The following is a 25,778-nucleotide window of genomic DNA, read 5'->3' on the forward strand; positions in this document are numbered from 1 at the left end:
GCGGTGGCTCACGCCTGGCACTTTGGGAGGCTGAGGCGGGTGGATCACGAGGTCAGGAGTTCAAGATCAGCCTGGCCAACATGGTGAAACCCCGTCTCTACTAAAAATACAAAAATTTGCAGGACATGGTGGCAGGCGCCTGTAATCCCAGCTACTCAGGAGGCTGAGGCAGAAGAATCGCTTGAACCCAGGTGGTGGAGGTTGTAATGAGCTGAGATCACACCACTGCATTCCAGCCTGGGCGACGGAATGAGACTCCATCCCAAAAAAAGAAAAGTACCTACAAAGTCTCTAGAGTGAGGATAAATAAAATAGTGAAAATTTCCTTCATAGCAGTTCATGTCCAAAACATATTTTTATAAAGAAAAGATGCAATCACTTTGAATTTACTTTTAAATTAAGAAAGACTTTTTTGCAACTGTACTACCAATTCTTTTTTTTTTGAGACGGAGTCTCACTCTGTTGCCCAGGCTGGAGTGCAATGGCACAATTTCAGCTCACTGCAACCTCCGCTCCCCTGGTTCAAGCAGTTCTCCTGCCTCAGCCTCCCGAGTAGCTGGGATTACAGGTGCATGCCACAGCGCCCAGCTAATTTTGTATTTTTAGTAGAGACGGGATTTCACCATCTTGGCCAGGCTGGTCTTGAACTCCTGACCTCGTGTTCCACCGTCCTTGGCCTCCCAAAGTGCTGGGATTACAGTTGTGAGCCACCGCACCCGGCCTGTACTACCAATTCTAACTGAGGTGCCATGTGCAGAAATGGGCTTCATATCTCCACAAGTCTTTTAACACTGGCTTTCTTTGCAACACTTGAATTAATATCACAAGTTCATTACCCGAATTTCAATATCCATCTCATGAATAAACAAATAAATAGTAAAAGCTCTTACTATTAAGTAGTATGGTCAAAACTATTTAAAGCAGAAAGAATATGCAGTAAATCGCTTAAGAATGCTGAAAGCAAATATTCAAGCCATGGGTCCTACAGTGAATGTTAATATATTTTGCATCCTGTGACTTGAATATCGCTTTGCTCATTTGACTAAGGTATCACAATCAAGCTATTCAGTGCAACTACACAGTCTGGCTCAGCCACACAATTAAAAACCAACAACCAAAAAACAAAAATCCACACCACTGAATTATAATGAATGTTTTATAAGAAGACTACTAAGAAAAGAGTGTGCATTTAATCATTATGAACAATTTTTAAAGATAAGGTTTTTCCAAAATGGCTTGCTCTTTAACAAAACACTTTTCATACTTATGAGATCTAAAAAAAGCAAAATATTTACTGGCTTCATGTCTAAACAAACTTGCACAAGAGTTATTTACACATGGGCTTAAACAAAATAAAATTCATTTCCCTTAAGGACTGGCTGTTTAATATTTACATTTATATTTGAGGTTCCCATGCTAAAGAAAAGCAGGGGAGGACGTAAACTTAAGGATTAAGCATGTCTCCTTTCAAAACAATTTCTCAGTGAACAAAAATAAAAGGCTGCATCACAGAAATCAAACATTACACACATATAAAATAACTCCATACCTCTTGTCAGCAAGATCTGTTTTATTTCCTACTAGCATGATGATAACATCACTTCCTCTTTCTGTTCTGACATCATCAATCCACTTTGTAGTTTGCTGGAATGAGTTAACATCTAGTATAGGAGGGTAGACAGAGAGATTAGTGTTGCTGAAAAATGCCTCCCCAGGTGGTGGGCACCTCCCTCCAAAAAAGCCCTGGAAGTTGGAAGGGGGCTGGCACATTAGTACCCCACTTTTAATGTGCCTGCAACATAACTCCATTTTATCTGATTACAACTGTCAGCAATTTAAACAAATTACAAGAATAAAATCTTCAAGGTTCCTTTTAGAGTAGTTTAAAAATTTTTTGAACATGATCAAATGAGTACAATGTAGTATTTAATTGAAAAAAAAACAACTTTTTGAAATATAAGGACAGCTATGGCAGATAATATGGTGTCACATTGCCACAATGCTTTTTTGATCACTTACACATACCAAACATGACAAAGAAAGCATTTTCCAAAGTATGTCAGCCAGTAAGTCCCAACACATCCAGAAAATCTGTAAAGCCTTTCAATAGCTTTCAACACCACTGTTTGCACTGCTTCCTCAGTTTGTGATCACTTTAACCTAAAGTTTATTTGTTTAATGCATCAGAAACACTTGTAACAAAATTTATCTTTTCTAGTGTTGGATTCTAAGTAGAGTACTTCAACACTTCTTACAGCAGCTAAAGAAAACAACGTACTAATATTTGAATCACATTTGTGGATTTAAAAAAAAATACACCAGGTTTCACTTGCTGTGGTTAAAGTAAGCACAAACATTTTAAAGCTACAAAACGTGTCAATGCACAATATGAACATACCTCTTTTTTTTAAACAAACAGCAACCCAAAGTAAAGGTGCAAAGGAAGAAAGACTGCATATAGCACCTATCTCAAAAAAAGTCCTTGAATGCAATCTTCTAATTTTGCCAGCACAATTATTCGTTATTAGATAACAATTCCTAATTGAGGAGATATGCAAGAATGCATAGTAACAGTATTACTAGTCCAAATGAATAGTTCCTTTGTCTATTTAAGATTTTTTTTAGCCCAAGATACTACATCTGTGTAGTGTGGTACACATTTTTTAAAAATTTAAAAAGAAAGCCCCAGATACTGGGCTGGGCACAATGGTTCATGCCTGTAACCCTAGCACTTTAGTTTTTGTTGTTGTTGTTGTAGTTGAGACAGAGTTTTGTTCTTGTTGCCCAGGCTGGAGTGCAATGGCACGGTCTTGGCTCACTGCAACCTCCGCCTCCCAGGTTCAAGAGGTTTTCCTGCCTCAGTCTCTCAAGTAGCTGGGATTACAGGCATGCACCACCACACCTGGCTAATTTTGCATTTTTAGTAGAGATGGAGTTTCATCACGTTGGTCAGGCTGGTCTCAAACTCCTGACCTCAGGTGATCCGCCTGCCTTGGCCACCCAAAATATGGGGATTTCCGGCGTGAGCCACTGTGCCCGGCCTAAACCTAGCACTTTAGAAGGCTGAGGCAGGAGGATCACTTGAACCCAGGAGTTCAAGACCCTGGTTTTCCTATAAGTTATGAACCACTACATGTAATAATGTTTAATATTGCCTAATATATGTCATAAACCAATTTACAAAGGCAATTTCAATCAGAAAGCATTTTCTTGTCAGTCACCAATGCTTCATGGAAAATTTACAATCACTTAAAAGGCCACAGGCATTATTCAATCTTTAGAAAAAAGAAAAAGACTACTAGTTGTTTCACCTCCTATTTAAAATTTTTTTCTTGGAGAGAAATGAAAGTGTAATTTGTTAGCAACAAAGTAAATAAATCAGTCACAGAACCAAAATATGATTCAAATAAAAAAGATTAATAGAAAACTGTACATTATGTTTTCTCTGTCTTCCTCTACAGAGAGAGAATGGCTGGAAGGGGAAAGCAGAGAAAAGCTGGCTAGCAGAAGCTTGTAATAGCCTCAATAGAAAGCTTGGAGGATTTGGAAAACCTGGCAAGAGACTTAAATGCAGATCATTTTATTTTAGAGAAATCTGAGATCAAGGAAACATTCCTCCAACTATAATTATGGTATGGTTTACGAATAACAGGATACTAAGAAACCCTTGAAGAGGATTCATAGTTGGACCCAAAAGAAAATTTCTGGGGCAAAAAACCTGGCACAGTTACATATAAAGCATATTGGTATAAACACCAAAGCAAATATTTCTGACCTGGCTGGTATGTAATTTACTATGATAAAACTTATTTTTACATGCCAGTAAGGAAAACAAGCACAAGACAAGAACATGCATGCAGCTAAGCTAAAGGTTGAAAGAAGATTAGAAATGCATAATTCCCTCCACTCACTTGTGATATCATAAACAACAACTGCCACAGTGGAGTCACGAATGTAGCTAGGAATCAAGCTCCTGAACCGCTCTTGACCTGCTGTGTCCCATAATTGCAATCGTACCTAACAACAAAATCAGTCAAACAAGCAAGAAAAATAAGAAAGGTCAACCCGTTGCAATATACCTACTTGTGATATCGTAAACTACTACAGCTGCAGCAGAATCACGGATGTAACTGGGAATGAGGCTACGGAAACGTTCCTGACCCGCAGTATCCCACAGCTGAAGCCTGATCTGTGAGATGGGAAAAAATAAATAAAAAAAAAAAAACCAAACTAATACTAAAAAGAAAAAAGAAACAATGTTTTTTGTAAAAGGGAGAGGGTGGGAAGGAAGTAGAAAGAAGACTCATGCAAGAGGTTGCAGGGAGTGAGGAATGAAAATAACACAAAACTCCTTTTTCAAAAGGGAGAAATATTAAAAATTTGCATACTCCAAACATAAATGACTGGAAAATGCCACTGGGAAAAATTTCACAGAATCAGAAATATGGCTTCCCTTTTTCCCTACCTAAAACCTGTTTGAATCCCTATGCCTTTCAAGTGGCAAAAAGTAGACTGTTGATGGTTAAATAGAGAAAAAAACAAAACAAAACAAAAAAACCTAAGGTAAATGTCAATGAGCAGCCTAAGCTATCAGAGTAAAGGAATTAATGCTTCTTTGAAAGCTTCTCTCAAGCTAAAATGTGTCTCTTTCCTATTGGGTCTAGAATACTTTCAAACCTGTTTTTTAACTACCGTGCTTGTATTTCTCCCATACATTTTCCCCAGAACATGCGAGTGTGTGCGCGCACGCATGCACGCGTGTGTGTGTATAATGTAACAAAAAGGAGGAAGATCTTTTTGCAGCCCTACATAAAAATGTCTTTACGTACTATCCATATCTATATTACAGGAAGAAAAGCCTGAAAACAAGTATCAAGTTCTTGCATCATGATAAAGTCGTTTCCAAGCTTTCAAATTTTTTTTTTTTTTTTTAGACAGACTCTCATTCTTGTCGCTCAGGCTGAAGTGCAGTGGTGTGATCTCGGCTCACTGCAACCTCTGCCTCCCGGGTTCAAACGATTCTCCTGCCTCAGCCTCCCGAGTAGCTGGGATTACAGGCGCCCGCCACCACGCCCAGCTAATTTTTGTATTTTTAGAAAAGATGGGGTTTCGCCATGTTGGCCAGGCTGGTCTTCAACTCCTGACCTCAGGTGATCTGTCCATCCTGGCCTCCCAAAGTGCTGGGATTACAGGCGTGAGCCACCACACCTGGCCGCTTTCAAATTTTAAGAAATGACATGCTATATATCAAAACATAAAAGAGAATATTCAGGAAAAAAAAAACACCTAAGAAATAACACTGGAAATTAAATAATGTTTTTGGGTGCAGGTCTCAAAGTACTGCATTTAAGATATTCACTGTTTAGGTGACAAGTATCTCTTCAAGGGGTAGTGGGCTAGAATACAGATTTTACACTGTATTTAAAGAAAACATTCCAAAGGATGAAAGACAAAAATCCAACAAATAAATACACATTACTTTTTTTTTTTTTTTTTGCAACGGAGTTTCGCTCTTGTTGCCCAGGCTAGAGTGCAATGGCGCAATCTCAGCTCACTGCAACCTCTGCATCCTGGATTCAAGCGATTCTCCTGCCTCAGCCTCCCAAGTAGCTGGGATTATAGGCGCCCGCCACCACGCCTGGCTAATTTTTTGTATTTTTAATAGAGATGGGGTTTCATCATGTTGGCCAAGCTGGTCTCAAACTCCTGACCTCAGATGATCCACCTGCCTCAGCCTCCCAAAGTGCTGGGATTACAGGTGTGAGCCACCGCACCCTGCCCACATAACTTCTTTTTTGTCAGTCACTTTGATACGCATCCTATCCTGACAAAAAAAATCTTGAAGTTCACAAATTGAAATCTTTTTGAATGCCTCAAGGGTGGCATTTAGAAGGTCTTTAGCAGGTTTAATTTCTTCATAAAAATTCTCCTTTAATTCTCTGTAAAGCTCTTTGTTTTCATTTTTCCAAATCAAGATGACTGCCAAGTACTACTCACTCGGTAATAAGAGTTTTTCTCAACAACTGTAAACTATCTTTGGTAACTTTGCTAAGTACTTCTTATGGTGACAATCATTGATAACTTTGATTGCAGTTTTCTAACCTGGAATGTTGCAGAAAATTGCACACTGAAAATATTACTCACTGTTCGATCCTCCAAGTACATAGTTTTTGATAAAAAGTCAATGCCAATTGTTGCCTGTAAAACAAAACAAAGAAGTTAACAAATAATAAGTTTAATGGTGGCCAGCAGTTTAGGATTCAAATGGGATTCATGATTGTGGAAGAAATAATGAATAAACAAATCAATACAACATAGTCAATTAAGGACAATTAAGGACAAACAAAATTTCCAGTGATAATGATTTTCATGTATTCAGCACTTGCTTCATATCAGAGATTGTTTTAAGCCTTTTACATGATCATCTCTAATCTTTATACATTCCTGCCAGGTAGCTTATTCTCATCCCTACTTTTCTCATTTTACAAATAACAAGACAATGGCAACTTTGGTTTAAATATTTGTATTTGAACTTTAGTTTGAGTATCTGATTGTTCTCCACTCAGAATGGTAAGTATCTGCCCCAAGAGCAGTTTTATAAAATACTGTTGATATATTGTCAACTGTCCTAATGCCATAGACAGCCAGAGACTCACAAACATCATAACTTTCCATAAGAGACATGATTTTTCCAATATAAAATAAAAGTCATTAGGTAAGGAAAACAAGTTTTCCTCTGTACCACACAATGATAGCTTCCTTCTGTGGTGAAAACAAATGTAAAGTTCTATTGCCTGGCTGCTGTTTTCCCTATCAAGAGAAAATGGTGAAATAATAAGAGAATAGAAAGAAGGCAGACTACAAAAAAGAAAGGAAAAAAAGTATACAAGTTAAAAAACAGTCCAGTATTAATTAGGGGAGATAAATAAAAAGAATGGAAGAAAGACAGACTCCAGAAAGAGGATGTTGATATGGACTCTATTTTAGAAGTTTTACCACCTCATTAATGTTTGTGTGCACATATACTATGTATATATGTGCGTGTACATACATACTTTTTCCCTAAATATCTTTGTGCCATATTCCTTAAAACAGAAACTGAGTCTGTGCATTTTAAAATATGAGTCACTAAGAATTTTAAGTTCCTAAAAAACAATCAAAAACTAGATCAGAAAAGTGGTCCATCAGTTGGGGATTTTATTTCTGTTAGCAGAAAAATAGAATTTTGTGTGTGTCATAGTTGAGTTCTCACGAGATCTGATGGTTTTATAAAAGGATTTCCCCTCTCTTTGCTCTGTGCTTCTCCTTGTTGCTGCCATGTGAAGAAGGACATGTTTGCTTCCCCTTCTGCCATGATTGTAAGTTTCCTGAGGCCTCCCCAGCCATGTGGAACTTGAGTCTATTAAACCTCTTTCCTTTATAAATTACCCAGTCTTGGGTTATCTCTTTATTAGCAGCATGAGAACAAACTAATACATGTGTCTCCTTTAATTTCTCCCAGCAGTGTTTTGTATAGTCTTATGCTGTTTGTTAAATTTGTTCCTAAGTATTTTATTCTTTTCTGATGCTTCCGTAAATAAAATTCAAATATATATGTGTGTGTGTATATATATATATATATATATATATATATATATATATATTTTTTTTTTTTTTTTTTTTTTTTGAGACAGTCTCACACTCTTGCCCAAGCTGGTATATAGGGGTGTGATTTTGTCTCAGTGCAGCCTCAACCTCCTGGCTCAAGCAATCCTCTCGAGTAGCTGGGACTACAGGTGCATGCCACCATGCCCCACTAATTTCTGTATTTTTTTATAGAGACAGGGTTTTGCCATGTTGTCCAGGCTAGTCTGGAACCCCTAGGTTCAAGAGATCTTCCCCACTTGGCCTTCCAACACGCTGGGACTATAGGCATGAGCCACTACACCCTGCCTAAAGATAATATCTTTATATGAAAAATCAATGCAATGTTGATAAGTCTTTACATGTTTTTACATATATTCAAGAATGAAAGCTACAGTAAATTACATAAATTGATTATCTACTAAGTGCCGATTTATACACATTGCCCCATTTAGTTCTCATTTATTCGTTCATCGATTATTTATTTATTTATTTATTTAGAGACAGAGTCTCGCTCAGTCGCCCAGGCTGGAGTGCAGTGGCGTGATCTCGGCTCACCGCAATTTCTGCCTCCTGGGTTCAAGCAATTTTAGTGCCTCAGCCTCTCAAGTAGCTGGGATTACAGGCATTCACCACCAAGCCCAGCTACTTTTTGTATTTTTAGTAGAGATGGGGTTTTGTCATGTTGGACAGGCTGGTCTCGAACTCCTGGCCTCAAGTGATTCCCCCCGACCTCGGCCTCCCAAAGTGCCAGGATTATAGGCATGAGCCAATGTGCCCAGCTTGCTCATCAAATATTTATTAAGCACGTACTTGCAAGTACTGTGTAAGGTACTAGAGTGATGAACAAACATGCAGTTAGTCTCTACCCAAATTGGACGGAACACATTTAAAAATCATGTACACCTGTCCACATTCATCAGGAATATTTATTGAACTCTATTCCTTCCAAATACTGGGGGGGAAAAAAAGAAAGATTTATTTTACTTATTTTATTTTATTTTATTTATTTATTTTGAGAGACAGAGTCTTGCTCTGTCACCCAGGCTGGAGTGCAGTGGGGTGATCTTGGCTCACTGCAACCTCCGCCTCCTAGGTTCAAGCAATTGTCCTGCCTCAGCTTCCCAAGCAGCTGAGACTACAGGTGTGCACCACCACACTCAGTTAATTTTTGTATTTTTTAGTAGAGACGGGGTTTCACTATATGTTGGCCAGGCTGGTCTCGAACTCCTGACCTCAAGTGATCTGCCCACCTCGGCCTCCCAAAGTGCTGGGATTACAGCCATGAGCCACTGCGCCTGGCCGAAAGAAATATTTATTGATTGCCTACTAGGCACCATCATTAGCAGCTGAGAATCCTGTGGTAAAAGAATAAAAAGCAGACAAGAATCTATGCCCTTGCAAAGGTTACAGTCTGCTAAGACAAACAATAAGCTAATTAAGTAAAATAGTATATTAGAGAGTAGTATGAGAGAAAAAAACCAGGAAAAGGACAATAAAAGATATTATGGTACGATGTCAATATTTTTAGATAAGATACTCAATAAAGGCTAAGAAAATGACTCTCACCACTCCTACCCACATATCTATATACTGTAAACCAGTACCCTGCATTTCAATATATAAGATTTTTTTTAGTTACATAAATAAAACACCACAAACTTTATGTATGTCAATTCCTGTACAGCAAATATTTCTAACAAATAGGTTTTTAAAGAAAAAATTGAACTGTTTCTCAAATTCCATATAAACGCTTATGCATTTCTCATTCACTTTGCCTTAATATGGGATTACTGCATATAGGCTGCAGAAAGTTCACACTCAAGAACAGCTATGTAAAGCATGTAAAACAACAGCAATTCAAAAGGTGACTCCAAAAGCAAAGAAAAAGATATCCCACTGAACACTTCATTTTCTCTTCCATGACAAAAACATTCACTTGAGAATATATTAGTTCGAACATCAAAGTACATTTGTTGATATACATAGGCAACATCACAAACTGACTAAAAGTAAATTTTATAGTATATAAGTCAAGAACAGTACTCTCTTCCTTCTCTGAAAATAGCAAATTGTGACTTACAAATTATGCAGCTAGGTAGTACTATAAAGGCCACAATCATTATCATGCTAAGATCATGTTTTCCTAAATGCATTTCGTTTTTTTTTTTTTTTTTTTGAGACGGAGTCTCGCTCTGTCACCCAGGCTGGAGTGCAGTGGCTCAATCTCAGCTCACCGCAACCTCCGCCTCCCGGGGTTCACGCCATTCTCCTGCCTCAGCCTCCTGAATAGCTGGGACTACAGGCGCCCGACACCAGGCCCGGCTAATTTTTTGTATTTTTAGTAGAGACGGGGTTTCACCGTGTTAGCCAACATGGTGTCGATCTCCAGACCTTGTGATCCGCCCGCCTTGGCCTCCCGAAGTGCTGGGATTACAGGCGTGAGCCACTGCGCCTGGCCTCCTAAATGTATTTCTTTACAGCACTTTTGACTAGATTAATAAATTATTTGATTAACTGTTAAATGTCCAACTTCTCCCCACTAGAAGTTCCATGAGAGTAAGGTTGGTTGATTTGTTCACTGCAGTATGCTATATACCCAGGATGCAGAATAGTGCCTGATATATAACAAAAACTCCAGGAAATAAAGAATAATGAAGATGTTGAGAATGACAAATGCCAGAGAAGATAAGCTTTAGCACAGTTAGGGATTGGCTTTTGATAGGAGGAGGGCATTTACTGCAGTATACTGGAATGAAAGAGGATTAGTACAAATACTGTTACATGTACTTAGATGATGTGGTAAGAAAAATAAATAAGGGCATTCCTGCCTTATACTTTCCATTTCTCTAAGAAGCAAGGTCTTCAAAGTAAGGGTCAAAGAAGAGTGGTAAAAGTGGTAAAGTTAGCTTTTGAGGAGTACAGAGTTAGTATGAAATAGTTACTCCAAAAAGTGCTTGGTAAACTGATAACCTAGTTGACACTAGCAACATTAATGTATTCAAGAACCAATGAGGAGAAATGAGATGACTGGGTTCATAACACGAATTTTGTCAAGCATATGTGATTGAACCAAAGAGAAGTGTATTAGTCTGTTTTGGCGCTGCCGATAAAGACATGCCCGAGACTGGGTAATTTATAAAGAAAAGGAGGTTTAATGGACTTGCAGTTCCACATGGCTGGGGAGGCCTCACAATCATAGTGGAAGGCGAAAGGTACTTCTTACATGGAGGCAACAACAGAGAATCAGAAGCAAGCGAAAAGGGTTTCCCTTTATGAAACCATCAGATCTCGTAAGACTTATTCATTACCACGAGAACAGTATGTGGGAAACCACCCCCAATGATTCAATTATCTTCCACTGGATCTCTCCCACAACATGTGGGAATTGTGGGAGTTACAATTCAAGATGAGATTTGGGTGGGGACATAGCCAAACCATATCAAGAGGCTAGAAAGTTAAAGAATTTCCCATGGAGTCTAAGCTAAAAAAGGAGAAAGGTAAGACAGAAGACACAGGACCAGATGTTTAAAAACAACATGGAAGGGCCAGGCGCGGTGGCTCATGCCAATAATCCCAGCACTTTAGGAGGCCGAGGCAGCCGGATTGCTTGAGCTCAGGAGTTTGTCATCAGTCTGGGCAACATGGCAAGAACCTGTCTCTATTAAAAACACAAAAAAGGCCGGGCATGGTGGCTCACATCTGTAATCCCAGCACTTTGGAAGGCAGAGGTGGGCAGATCACAAGGTCAGGAGTTTGAGACCAGCCTGGCCAATATGGTGAAACCCCGTCTCTAGTAAAAATACAAAAATTAGCCAGGTGTGGTGGTGCGCATGTGTAGTCCCAGCTATTCGGGAGGCTGAGGCAGGAGAATCGCTTGAACCCAGGAGGCAGAGGTTGTAGTAAGCCAAGATTGAGCCACTGCACTCTAGCCTGGGCGACAGAGCAAGACTCCGTCTCAAAAAAAAAAAAAAAAGCCCAGGCACAGTGGCTCACGCCTGTAATCCCAGCACTTTGAGAGGCAGAGGCGGGTGGATCACGAGGTCAGGAGATCGAGACCATCCTGGCTAGCACAGTGAAACCCTGTCTCTACTAAAAATACAAAAAATTAGCCAGGCGTGGTGGCAGGTGCCTGCAGTCCCATCTACATGGGAGGCTGAGGCAGGAGAATGGCGTGAACCTGGGAGGCGGAGCTTGCAGTGAGCCGAGATTGTGCCACTGCATTCCAGCCTGGGTGACAGAGTGAGACTCTGTCTCAAAAAAAAAAAAAAAAAAAAAAAAAGGCATAGTGGTGCACACCTGTAGTTCCAGCTACTCAGGAGGCTGAGGTGGGAGAATCGCTTGAGCCTGGGGGGATGGAGGCTGCAGTGAGTCAAGATCACACCACTGCACTCCAGCCTGGGTGACAGAGTGAAACCCTGTCTTAAAAAAAAAAAAATTAGAAGAAAAATTATTTTTAAAAAATGAAAAAATAAAATAAAAATAACATGGAGGAATTAATGGGTTGAAGGTTTTGATGTGAACCACCGGAGTAGAAACTATTATAGTAAAAGTACCTGAATAAAAAAATTGGAAGGATACAAGACTGTGGTCTGAGAAGAGAATACATGATTTTCAGAGAAGGTCTGAGATTATGGAAACGAAAAGTACAGGAGGCTAGCAGATTGTCTATGTGAACATTATAGTTGTCTAAAATGCTGACAGGTTATAATGAAGAGGACTACTATGAAAAGAAGTGCTAAAGTATTCAAAGAAAGAAATAAAACAATCAATGTTGTTCTCAATGGTAAATGGTAATAATCACAAAAGAATAGAGCTTTTGGCCAGGCATGCTGGCTCATCCCTGTAATCCCAGCACTTTGAGAGGCTGAGGCAGGAGGATCTCCTGAGCCTGAGTACAAGACTTAGGCAAGATGGCAAAAACCCATCTGTACAAAAAAAATTTTTTTTAATTAGCTGGGAGTGGTGGCGTGTACCTGTAGTCCCAGCTACTTAGGAGGCTGAGGCAGGAGAAACCCATTAGCTCAAGAATTCAAGGTGACAATGAGCTATGATCATGCCACTGCACTCCAGCCTGGGCGACAAAGCAATACTCTATCTCTTGGAAAAAAAAAAAAAGAACTTTTTTTTCCCCCAAAAAAGAATGGAGTCACCATCCATAGGGATTATGATTCTCACTTTACAGATGTGAAAATATGGATTCTGAAAAATTTAATAATTGATCCAAACCCATCCAACTACTAAATGGTAGAACTAAGACATAAATAAAGGTGCTTCCAACTCTAAGGCTCATTACATAGCTTTCCTAAAAAAGAAATGCCCATGTTTTTGTTTTTCAGGAAGATTCAATTCAGAAGCCATATTCCTGAAATAAATACTTCAAATGTGGAAAAATACATACTAAGAGGATTTAGATTTTAAGATTACCCTAAAAAGGTTTCTGAAAAATAAAAATGGTTTAATAATCAAGACAGCAGCAGTTAATGAGTGACAGCCTTAATCAGATTAACATTTGCTATATTACAAAGACAAAGCAATTGAAATCAAGTTTTTTTCTTTAATCTATAGAATGACAAATGAAATCAAGTTTTTATGCTAACTACAATACATATAAAATGGATAAGTAAATTAAGAGTAACTTGTTTTCTTTTTTTAACTTAAAATTTTTTTAATTCATTTAACAAGGCAGTTTAAATCTATGCTCCCCAATTGTTTCACAAAAACATTTCATAACTGAAAAGTAGTGGTAATAAAAAAAATTTTAAAGAGTTAACATGGTAAAGATTTACAGTGTGCTTAGTGTCTCAAAGTACTTGCTCTTAAGATTACTAATTTATTCCTTTTAGTTTGTTCTTTGATTTTTGGTATTGAAACTGTGTAGGTTGTGAGGGCAGACATCCTTACTTGTTCCTGATCTTAGAAAGCGTTCAGCCTTTCACATTAAGTATATAAGATGTGGCATTTTTATGGATGCTCATTACCATTTTGAAGTTTCCTTCTATTCCTAGCTTGTTGTTGTATGTTTTTATCATGAAACGCTGCTGGATTTTGTCAAATGCTTTTTATGTGTACATTCAAATGATCATGTGATTTTGTCCTTTATTTTATTCAAATAATGTATTATGTTTATTGCTTTTTGTATATTCCACTTGTTAAATGACACATAGGTCAGGTGTGGTGGCTCATGCCTGTAATCCCAGCACTTTGGAAAGCCGAGGTGAAAGGGTTGCTTGGGCCCAGGAGTTCAATACCAGCCTGGGCAACATAGCAAATCTGTCTTTGTTTAAATAATAATAATAATAATAATAATAATAATAATAATAAATGAAATAAAAATAATAGTGTATATCTTTTTTAACATGTTGCTGGATTCAGTTTGGTTGTATTTTATTGACAATTTTTGTGTCTATATTCATAGGGGATATTGGTCTGTAGTTTAATTTTGATATCTCTGTCTGGGTTGAATATTAGAGTAACTGACCTCACAGAATGAGGTGGGTCCTCTTCTATTTTTCAGAAGAGTTTTACAAAGTATTGGTGTTGTTCTCTAAATGTTTCATAGAATTGACCAATGAAATTATCTGATGCTGGGATTTTCTATGTGGGCAGTTTTTTTTATTACTAATTCTCTCTACTTATTAGATATATATTCCGATTTTCTATTTCTTCTTGAGATAGTTTTAGTAAACTGTGTCTTTCTTGGAATTTGTCCATTTTACCTGTCATCTAATTAGTTAGCATTTAATTGTTCACACCATTCCATTATAACCCTTTTGATTTTATTTTATTTTTGAGATGGAGTCTCACTCTGTCACCCAGGCTGGAATGCAGTGGTATGATCTCAGCTCATTGCAACCTCCGCCTCCTGGGTTCAAGCGATTCTCCTGGCTCAGCCACCCAAGTAGCTGGGATTACAGGCGCCCACCATTATGCCTGGCTAATTTTTGTATTCTTAGTAGAGATGGAGTTTTGCCATATTGGCCAAGCTGGTCTTGTACTCCTGACCTCAGGTGATCCACCCACCTCAGCCTCCCAAAGTGCTGGGATTACAGGCATGAGCCACTGCGCCCAGTCAACCCTTTTTATTTCTGTATGGTTGGTGGTAATATTCCCTCTTTTCTGATTTCAGAACTTGAGTCTTCTTTTTTTTCTTGGTCAGTCTAGCTAAAGTTAGTCAATTTTTTTATCTTTTCAAAGAACTGCTTTTGGTTTCATTGATTTCCTCCATTGTTTTTCTGCTCTCTCTTTCATATATTTCTGCTTTAACCTTTATTAACTTCTGTATTAAGCATGTCTTTTTACTTTCTATAGTTTTGATGTTTTGACATCAGGGTCCTTGCTGACACTGGAGGGACTGCCCCTGCCAGGATTAGCTTTTTCATTAGAGATAGTAAACTCACCTTTGAGTACTCCTTTCATAGGCAAACCAACCAATCCAAAGCCAATACCCCAGCACCTCCTCTATGACACTGAGGGCCAATACTACACTGCCCTAATCACCCGGGCCAGGTACTAGACAACCAGGAACAGCCCCTCAACCCCAGAACCCCTGAAATTATCCGAACTAGCTAATCCTAAACCTGCTTACCCTGTCTTGTGTGCCTCTTCCCTGAAAACCACAATCAAGGCTTTTGTCCACATTTCCCCAGCCACCTGCCTTTTAACTGACCCAGTGCTTCCCCATGTGGCCCCCTCTGGCATGGCATGCCCTCTTCTCTTGGGATCTGTGAGTATAACAAACTATCTTTTCAATGGCAATCATCTCCTGATCTATTGGCCTCACCATACAGGAATAATGATAAAACCTAAATTTTAAAATAGCTTCTTCCTTCTGTCGCTTTGGGTTTAGTTTTCTTCCAGTTTCTTAAAGTAGAATGTTAGGCTATTTATTTAGTATCTCTTTTCTTTTTTGTATAGCACTGCTTTAGTTGTATACCATAAGTTTTGGTGTGCTGTGTTTTCTTTTTTATTGATCTCAAAGCATTTTCTAATTTCTCTTGTGATTTCATCTTTGACATTAATTATTTAGGAGTGTATTATTTAATTTTCACATATTTGTGAATGTGCCAAATATCCTTCTGTTAATGATTTCTAATTTCATTATTCATTTATTCTTAATTTCAAATGTAGATAAAAAATGTCACAGAATCCTAGGCTTGGACAAAATCTATAGAGAATATCCACCATTACTTCTAATGCCATCCTAGATGATATTGGAGATATATTTCAACAGACTTTGGAAGAGACAAAAGAAATCAAATGATAAAAGTTTATCCTAGGACTGGACAAAATCATTTACACATTGTATTTATACAGCATTTTACAGATTATAGAAAGTACTTTTACATCCACAACTGCAAGTAAATAATTTTTTAAAAATATCTTGAATATTACTTGTAACAAAAAATAGACAACAAATAAATTGGCAAAAACAAAATACCTGATAGGTGTTGTCAAAACTGTCATACATGAATCTGGTGATCAAAGATGTCTTTCCAACTGAAATGAAACGAAAAAAAGATTTGCTCAGTGAACACATTACATTGGGTTCTCAGAAAATTTTTCTACAGAGAACTGCAATTAAAGTCAATGGGAAATACCTGCAATGGTTCTACTAAGAATAATTAAAACCCATATAGCCCCAAGATTGTCAAAATGACTTTCTCCAAACACAGACAACCATCTCCCAATTTAAAAGCACAGGTAAACAGTCTATAGTTAAAAGTTGAAAACATTCTGTTATTATATACTGACATTCCTAATTCACAAAAGGCCAAGTAAACACTTACTTGGCCCTAACAAAAAGAATTAATGGAGGCTTAGGTCCACTTCATCTAGCAAATCAAAGTATAATCCCTGGGAGTAGAAAGGCAAAAGATAGTCTTAGAAGGGGTATGAGGGCTACAAGAACTACACTGTTTTAAGAGTGAGAAAAACTGGCCAGGTGCGATGGTTCACGCCTGTAATCCCAGCACCTTGGGAGGCCAACGTGGGTGGATCACGAGGTCAAGAGATCGAGACCATCCTGGCCAACATGGTGAAATCGTGTCTCTACTAAAAATACAAAACTTAGCTGGGCAGGGTGGTTGCACGCCTGTAGTCCCAGCTACTCGGAAGGCTGAGGCAGGAGAATAACTTGAACCTAGGAGATGGAGGTTGCAGTGAGCCGAGATCACACCACTGTACTCCAGCCTGGCAACAGAGACTCCGTCTCAAAAAAAAAAAAAAAGTGAGAAAAACTGACAAGAAAAGCTGTTTTAAAATTCATTTCAAAACCAGATAGAACTCTCTACTTCTCTGGCAAAGAATTACCAAAGATCCATAACTTCACTTTGTATTGTGAGATAGATAGATAGATATTATATATATATATATATATATATATATATATATATATATATATATATACACACACACACACATATTTTCTTTTTTTTTTAGACAGTCTCGCTCTGTTGCCAGGCTGGAGTACAGCGGGAAGATCTCGGCTCACTGCAACCTCCGCCTCCCGGGTTCAACCGATTCTCCTGCCTCAGCCTCCCAAATAGCTGGGACTACAGGTGCACGCCACCATGCCGAGCTAATTTTTTGTTATTTTTAGTAGAGATGGGGTTTCATCATGGCCAGGATGGTCTTGATCTCTTGACCCTGTGATTCGCCCGCCTCGGCCTCCCAAAGTGCTGAGATTATAGGCGTGCACCACTGTGTCTGGACTGTATTGATATTTTTAGGTTAATCCATATGAAAGTGTCATGAGGTCAAAAGTAGTGGAATGCTGGCAATTTCTTTACCAATAAGCACATTCTCCAAGGGCAAAAACCATATCTGATTATTTTTCTATTTTGCCAGTGGCTTGACACAGACTCAAAATACAAAATGAATGCAAAAAAAACCTTATCAATTAGAAAGGAACTGGGTAAATCAACATCTCCAATACTCCCAAAATGTACTTTTTGGGAGGATAAGAACCATACCTAAAAGGCCGGGTGCGGTGGCTCACGCCTGTAATCCCAGCACTTTGGGAGGCCGAGGCGGGCGGATCACGAGGTCAGGAGATTGAGACCATCCTGGCTAACATGGTGAAACTCCATCTCTACTAAAAATACAAAAAATTAGCCAGGCGTGGTGGCGGGCACCTGTAGTCTCAGCTACTTGGGACGCTGAGGCAGGAGAATGGCGTGAACCCGGGAGGCAGAGCTTGCAGTGAGTCGAGACTGCGCCACCGCGCTCCAGACTGGGTGACAGAGCGAGACTCTGTCTCAAAAAATATATATAAATAAATAAATCAGCCGGGCGTGGGGGAGTGCGCCTTGTAAACCCAGCTACTTGGGAGGCTCAGGCAACAGAATCGCTTGAATCTGGGAGGCAGAGATTGCAGTGAGCTGAGAGTGCACCACTGTACTACAGTCTGGGCGACACAGTGAGACTCTGTCTCAAAGCAAACAAACAAACAGATCTGTTCAGGCAGCTATCCTTTCTCCTCAGTGATTTTCTTTTTTTTCCCCCGAGACGATGTCTTGCTCTGTCACCCAGGCTGGAGTGCAGTGACGCGATCTCGGCTCACTGCAACGTCCACCTCCTGGGTTCAAGCAATTCTCCTGTCTCAGCCTCCCGAGTATCTGAGATTACAGGCGTGTGCCACCATGCCTGGCTAATTTTTTTACTTTTAGTAGAGACAGGGTTTCACTATGTTCGCCTGGCTGGTCTCAAACTCCTGACCTCATGATCCGCCTGCCTTGACCTCCCAAAGTGCTGGGATTACAAGCATGAGCGTCCACATCTGGCCTCAATTATTTTCTTCATGGCATCTGGAAACTTGTCTTGGTTGGCAGAAGCTGCTTCTGCTGTTACATTGATTTTTTTGTTGTTGTTGTTTTAAGCCAAGTCTTTCAAAAATCATCAAGCCATCCCTTGCTGGAATTAATTCTCCAGCTGTATTTTAGGCCAGGCGCGGTGGCTCACAGCTGTAATCCCAACACTTTGGGAGGCTGAGGCAGGCAGATCACCTGAAGTCAGGAGTTTGAGATCAGCCTGGCCAACATGGCAAAACCTCATTTCTACTAAAAATACAAGAATTAGCCGGGTGTGGTGATGCGCGCCTGTAATCCCAGCTACGCAGGAGACTGAGGCAGGAGAATCGTTTGAACCCAGGAGGTGGAGGTTACAGTGAGCCGAGATCATGCCACTGCACTCCAGCCTGGGCGACAGGGTGTGAGACACCATCTCAAAAAAAAAAAAATAAATAAATAAAAATAAATAAATAAATAAAGAGAATGGACAAATTGTGGCATAGTCATAAAATGAAATATTACAATGACAAAATATCCTAACATGTAAAATTGTATGAACAAATTTCAGACACTACATAGAGTGAAAGAGACCAGATACAAAAGAATATATACTCTGTAATTCTATTTATATGACGTTCAAAACTGGTAGAATTAATGCTGATAGAAGTCAAGAAAAGTTGTAAGGGGTTTCTAACTGAGAAAGGGAGCCAAGGAATCTTCTAAGTGCTGGTATTAATCATTACAAAGGTGAATAAAAAAGTAAAATTTCCAACAAGCCATATATTTAAGATTTGTCTACTTTGTGCCCTTTACTGGATGTTATACTTTAAAATAAAATCTTTTTCTCAAAGAGTAAAACACTTTACTATATATGTATCATTCCCAATAAAAAGTGTATATATGTATGTGGCTATCAAGAACCCCTGATATACTGTGACAAGAAGGGCACTTCACCTTGTGAAGTGAAAAAAACTCCAGTTTAATAACGGAGAAGAATTTACCCAGTTTATCAAGTTTTTGTTTGTTTTTGAGACGGGGTCTCACTCTGTCGCCCAGGCTGGAGTGCAGTGACACGATATCAGCTCACTGCAACCTTCACCTCCTGGGGTCAAGCGATTCTCCTGCCTCAGCCTCCTGGGTAGCTGAGATTACAGGCGCCCGCCACCACGCCCAGCTAGTTTTTGTATTTTTAGTAGAGACAGAGTTTCACCATGTTGGCCAGGCTGGTCTCAAACTCCTGACCTCAGGTGATATACCTGCCTCAGCCCCCCAAAGAGCTGGGATTACAGGCTTCAGCCACCGCACCTGGCCAGTTTATCCAGTTTAATAGTGAGAAAAAAAAATGGCAAACCCAAATTGGAGATAAATCTACAGTAGCAGTCACCAATCTTTTTGGCACCAGGGACCAGTTTCATGGAAGACAGTTTTTCTGTGGGAGTTGGGGAGGAGGAACGGTGGATGGTTTCAGGATGAAACTGTTCTACCTCAGATCATCAGGCATTAGATTCTCATAAGGAGCATGCAACCTAGATCCCTCACATGCACAGTTCACTATAGGGTTCTCGCTCCTATGAGAATCTAATGCCAGCACTGATCTGACAGGAGGTGGAGCTCAGGCCCACTGCTTACCTCCTGCCGTGAGGCCTGGTTCCTAACAGGAGTAATCTAAAATCTAGGAGAAAAAAAACTAAAGGAGAGTGTCTCTCAGTAAAAGTAGGTAGGAACAAGACAACTACAAGTTGAGTATCTCTTAACCAAAATGCTCAGAACCATAAATATTTCAGATTTTAGAAAATTTGCATTATACTTGAGCATCCTTAATCCAAAAGCCTGAAATGAGAAATGCTCCAATGAGCATTTCCTTTGAAAGTCATGTTTAAATATAAAATTTTGATGCATGTATTTGTAAATCATCTCTTAATAACTACATTTGCATTCACTATGCTGCCTCAATGCAATCTCCAGAAACAAAATAGAAATTCTAGCACAATTTCAACATTTATAATAACATTCCTAAAATCACACCATCTGCACCATGCTAATTACACACTCTTGCAATTCTGTGAAGGCCAGACACAACAATGATCTCAGTAGGATTCACATTCCATTTGACTGTATTAACAACCACTGGCAAACAACTTGGGTATAAATTCTAATTCAAATGATAGGGCTCAATCTTTGAAACTTTTGTAGCCCAGGGCAAATATAATAGAAAAATGATCCTACTCACTTATATTTCTTCCTTTTAATGAGAACATACTAAATGCCAGGGACTGAAAAATGCTGGGGATATAAAAACAATCAGAACATAGTACTTGCTAAGGTTAAGTCAGAGAGACAAAAAGTTACTGCAGAGTGATAAAAAGTACAAGAGCATGTTGTGAATGGGGGCAGTCTTCTATTATAAGGCTAGAAGGTAAAGAAAAACTTTCCAGAGAAAAATAACTTTAAACATGAGGTCTGAAGGAGACTTTAGCTAGAAGAAAAAGAAGGTATCTCAGGCCTTTAACAAGGACCATGAGTATTAGAGAGCTAACTTAGGAAGCTTTATTTATTTTTCCAATCTTATTTGGAAAGAAATAAATTTAAATACGTAACTCTACTTATATACGAGATTACCTAAATTCTTCAACAATAAATCAGACAAGTAAATCTGTAATAACCCATATGCAGGACATAATCTTGAAGTTACAGGCCCTCTTACAGGATTTTGCTGCTAATATCAAACCTATCCCAACCTCAAAAGTCTATTTGAGAGAATAAGCAGTATTTGAGGAGGCAGTTTCTGGAATCCCAACCTTGCCTTAAAAAAAAAAAAAAAAAAGAGAGAGAGAGACAGAGAGAGATAAATCACATACCATACAATTCACCTACTTTTTTTTTTTTGGAAACAGAGTGCAGTGGCATGATCGTGGCTCACCATGGCCTCAACCTCCTGGGTTGAAATAATCCTCTGACCTTAGCCTCCAGAGTAGCAGACGATACAGGTGGAAAGTGCTGGGATTACAGATATGAGAAATTCACCGTTTTAAGGCCAGGTGCGGTGGCTCATGGCTGTAATCTCAGCACTTTGAGAGGCCAAGGCGGGCAGATGACTTGAGGTCAGGAGTTTCAGATCAGCCTGGCCAACATGGTGAAACCCCATCTCTACTAAAAATACAAAAATCAGCCGGGTGTGGTGGCAGAGACCCACAATCTGAGCTACTTGGGAGGCTGAGGCAGGGAAATCACTTGAACCCGGGAGGCGGAGGTTGCAGTGAGCCGAGATTGTGCCACTGCACTCCAGCCTGGGCAACAGAGAAAGACTCTGTCTCCAAAAAAAAAAGAAAAAGAAATTCACCAGTGAAAGTAATTCTAGATGAAGGTATCTCCTAATTGAAAACAAGTACAGTTGGCCAGGCGCGGTGTGGCTCACGCCTGTAATCCCAGCACTTTGGGAGGCCAAGGTGGGTAGATCACCTGAGGTCAGGAGTTTGAGACCAGCCTGGCCAGCATGGTGAAATTCTGTCTGTACTAAAAATGCAAAAATTAGCCAGGCATTGTGGCTCATGCCTGTAATCCCAGCTACTCCGGAGGCTGAGGCAGGACAATCACTTAATCCTGGGAGGCAAAGGTTACAGTGAGCCAAGACTGTGCCACTGCACTCCAGCCTGTGCAACACAGTGAGACTTCATCTCGAGAAAGAAAAAAAAAAGAAAAAAAAAAAAAAAAACAATTAGCCAGGCATGGTGGTACATACTGTTGTCCCAGACACTTGAGAGGCTAAGGTGGGAGGATTGCTTGAGCCCAGGAGGTCAAAGCTACAATGAACCGTGATCATGCCACTGCAGTCCAGCCTGGGTGACACAGCGAGACACTGTCTCAAAAAAAAAAAAAAAAAAAAGAAGAAAGAAAGAAAACAAGTGCTGGGACACAAAGCAAGTCTCAACAAATTTCAAATGTTTGAAATCATATAGAACGTATTATCTGCCCTCAGTGAAACTGAACAAGAAATTTACAACTAAAAGATATCCAGAAAATGTTGAAATGTTTGGAAATAACATAATGTACTTCTAACCCAGAGGTTCAAGAAGAACTCACAATGGAAATTTAGGCTTGGTGTGTTGGCTCGTGTATGTAATCCCATCACTTTGGGAGGCTGAGGAGGATCGAGTGAATACAGGAGTTCGAGATCAGCCTGGGCAAATAAGCGAGACCCTATCTCTACAAAAAATTTAAAATTTACTAGAGTGTGGTGGCATGCACCTGTAGTCCCCTACTTGGCAGGCCGAAGCAGAAGGATTGCTTGAACCTAGGAGTTTGAGGCTGCAGTGAGCTATGATCACACCACTGCACTCCAGCCTGGGTGACAGAGCAAGACCCTGTTTCTAAAACTCATCATCATTTGAGCTAAATGATAATGAAATCATTATAACATATGGCAAGCACTACCCATAAGAGCCAAAGTGCAGAAACAAGCCAAATGTCCATCAACTAATAAACAAAACGTGGTACACAGATACAATGGGATGAAGTATTGATAATATGCTTCAAAACAAATGAACCTTGAAAACACTACACTAACTGAAAGAGATCAGTCACTAAAGACCACATATTATTGCCGGGCATGGTGACTCACGCCTGTAATCCCAGCACTTTGGGAGGCCAAGGCGGGTGGATCATGAGGTCAGGAGTTCAAGACCAGCCTGGCCAACATGGTGAAACCCCGTCTCTACTTAAAAAAAATACAAAAATTAGCTGGGCGTGGTGGTGGGCGCCTGTAATCCCAGCTACTCGGGAGGCTGAGGCAAAGAATTGCTTGAACCCGGGAGGCGGAGGTTGCAGTGAGCCGAGATCACACCATGCACTCCAGCCTGGGCAACAGAGGGAGACTCCATCTCAAAAAAAAAAAAAAAAAAGACCACATGTTATTAATATATACTAAAAACCACTAAACTGTATACTTGATACAAGTAAATTATATGATATGTAAACTTTAGCTCCATAAAGTTGTTATAAAAATTTATGCAGGTGATGGTTGTACTAAATGTGAATGTTATTTTTTATTTATTTTTTACTTATTTATTTATTTTTAATAGAGACAAGGTCTCACTAAGTTGCCCAAGCTGGTTTTGAACTCCTGAGCTCAAGCAATCCTCCCACCACGGCCTCCCAAAGTACCAGGATTATGGTCGTGAGGCACCATGCCTAGCCGGTACTACAATGTGAATGTTCTTAATGCCACTGAACTACACACTTAAAAATGGCTAAAATGGTCAGGGACAGTGGCTCTTGCCTGTAATCCCAGATACTCGGGAAGCTGAAACTGGAGGATGCTTGAGGCAAGGAGTCCAAGGCTAGCCGGGCAACAAAGCAAAACTCCATCTCCAAAAACATTTAAAAAGAAATTTAGCCAAGCACAGTGGAGTAGACCTGTAGCCCCAGCTACTTGGGAGGTTGAGGCAGGAAGATTCAAGCCCAGGAGTTTGCAACTACTATAAACTGTGATAGTGCCACTGCACTCCAGCCCTGGCAACAGGGTAAGATCCTGTCTCAAAGTAAAAAATAAAATAAATATCCAATATTGAGGCCAGGAGCGGTCGCACTTTGGTAGGCCGAGGCAGGCAGATCACTTGAGGTCAGGAGTTTGAGGCCAGCCTGGGCAACATGGCAAAACCCCGTCTCTACTAAAAATACAAAAATTACCCAGCATAGTGGCACACACCTGTAGTCCCAGTTACTTGAGAGGCTGAGCCCAGATGATTGCTTGAGCCTGGGAGTCGGAGGCTGCAGTGAGCCAAGACTGCGCCACTGCACTCCAGCTTGGGCAACAGAGTGAGACTCCTGTCTCAAAAAACAAAACTAAACTAAACTAAACTAAACTAATATTGGGGCTGGGCACAGTGGCTCATGCCTGTAATCCCAGCACTTTGGGAGGCTGAGGTGGGCAGATCACTTGAGGTCAGGAGTTCAAGATCAGCCTGGCCAACGTGGTGAAATCCTATCTCTACTAAAAATACAAAAATTAGGCAGGTCTAGTACTCAGGATGCTGAGGCACAAGAATCGCTTGAACCTGGGAAGTGGAGGCTGCAGGGAGCCAAGATCACAGCACTGCACTCTGGCCTGGGAGACAGAGCAAGACTGCAAAAAAAAAATAGTAATAATAATTAAAAAAAAAAAAAAAAAAAAAATATATATATATATATATATAAATACTGGAACACCAAAGATAACTAAAAAGTAAACTAAAAAATTTTTTAAGAGATGGGGTGTCACTATATTGCCCAGGTTGGTCTCGAACTCCTGGGCTCAAGTGATCTTCCCGCCTCAGCCTCCCAAATGCTGGGATGAGTCATGAGCCACCAGTGCACTCAGCCTGATTTTTTATTTTTTATTTTTTTGAATCAGGGTCTTGTTCTGTCTCAGGCTGGAGTGCAGTGACACCAATCATGGCTCACTGCAGTGCCAAGTCCTTGGGCTCAAGAAATCCTGCCACCTCTAAGGTTGATTATTAAAAGTTAGATAAACTAATTATTGGGGCCTCAAGAAAACCGAGGGATATTAATTTAAAAGATAAGTTTTATAAGTGGCAAAGTAAGTCCTCACATAATATACTCTTGAAGGATACCTAGGATTCACACAATCTAAGACTGGTATTTGCATAAAAAAGAGAAGCCTCAGGCCGGGCCCGGTGGCTCATGCCTGTAATCCCAGCACTTTGGGAGGCCCGGGCGGGCAGATCACAAAGTCAGGAGATGGAGACCACCACCCTGGCTAACACAGTGAAACCCCATCTCTACTAAAAATACAAAAAATTAGCTGGGCTTGGTGGCACACACCTGTAGTCCCAGCTACTCAGGAGACTGAGGCAGGAGAATCGCTTGAACCTGGGAGGCAGAGGTTGCAGTGAGCCGAGACTGCGCCACTGCAGTCCAGCCTGGGCAACAGAGCAAGACTCTGTCTCAAAAAAAAGAAAAAAAAAAAAAAGAGAGGACTCAATTAGTCTACAATCTATAACTATGATAAATTCTGACCTGCTTCATAATTCTTGGTCAATAACATTGGCCAGATAGTATTGAACTAGACCAATTAGATATTTATATTTTTTACTTTTTCCCACAAAAAAACACTATAAAAAATTAATCCGCTATGATAATGGTAGCTTAAATCATATGCTATGATTGTAGTAACAAAGCCAAGCAAAAGACACTATCTAGTCATTGTTCCATCCTGGTAACAAAGACAGTTGAGAAAAGTACCTAGGGATCACAACAGAAAAGCTCAGCTGCAAGCAAACCTCACTGCAATATCATATCCAAGGGCGTCTCACCTAGGTGATGCAATTCTAGAGGAAAACAAAATCAAATAAACCAAGCTAATGCTAC

General features: G+C 39.8%; 1 protein-coding gene across 4 annotated transcripts in view; it reads right to left on the reverse strand.

Moving 5' to 3' along the window:
- Positions 1-25,778, reverse strand: part of RAB6A (RAB6A, member RAS oncogene family) — an 85,437-nt gene that overhangs the window by 39,064 nt on the left and 20,595 nt on the right. For 2 of the 4 annotated variants that reach the window (NM_002869.5, NM_001243719.2), the window contains exons 2-5: positions 16,064-16,122; positions 6,145-6,198; positions 4,084-4,189; positions 1,550-1,661 (exon numbers count right to left, since the gene is read on the reverse strand). In NM_002869.5, the coding sequence (NP_002860.2) occupies positions 1,550-1,661; positions 4,084-4,189; positions 6,145-6,198; positions 16,064-16,122 (331 nt within the window). Of the gene's footprint in view, positions 1-1,549; positions 1,662-3,911; positions 4,018-4,083; positions 4,190-6,144; positions 6,199-16,063; positions 16,123-25,778 lie in introns of all 4 variants that reach the window. The other 2 variants (NM_198896.2, NM_001243718.2) reach the window with 2 other exon arrangements.

The sequence above is a fragment of the Homo sapiens genome, chromosome 11 (assembly GCF_000001405.40).
Source record: "Homo sapiens chromosome 11, GRCh38.p14 Primary Assembly".
NCBI classification, from domain to species: domain Eukaryota; kingdom Metazoa; phylum Chordata; class Mammalia; order Primates; family Hominidae; genus Homo; species Homo sapiens.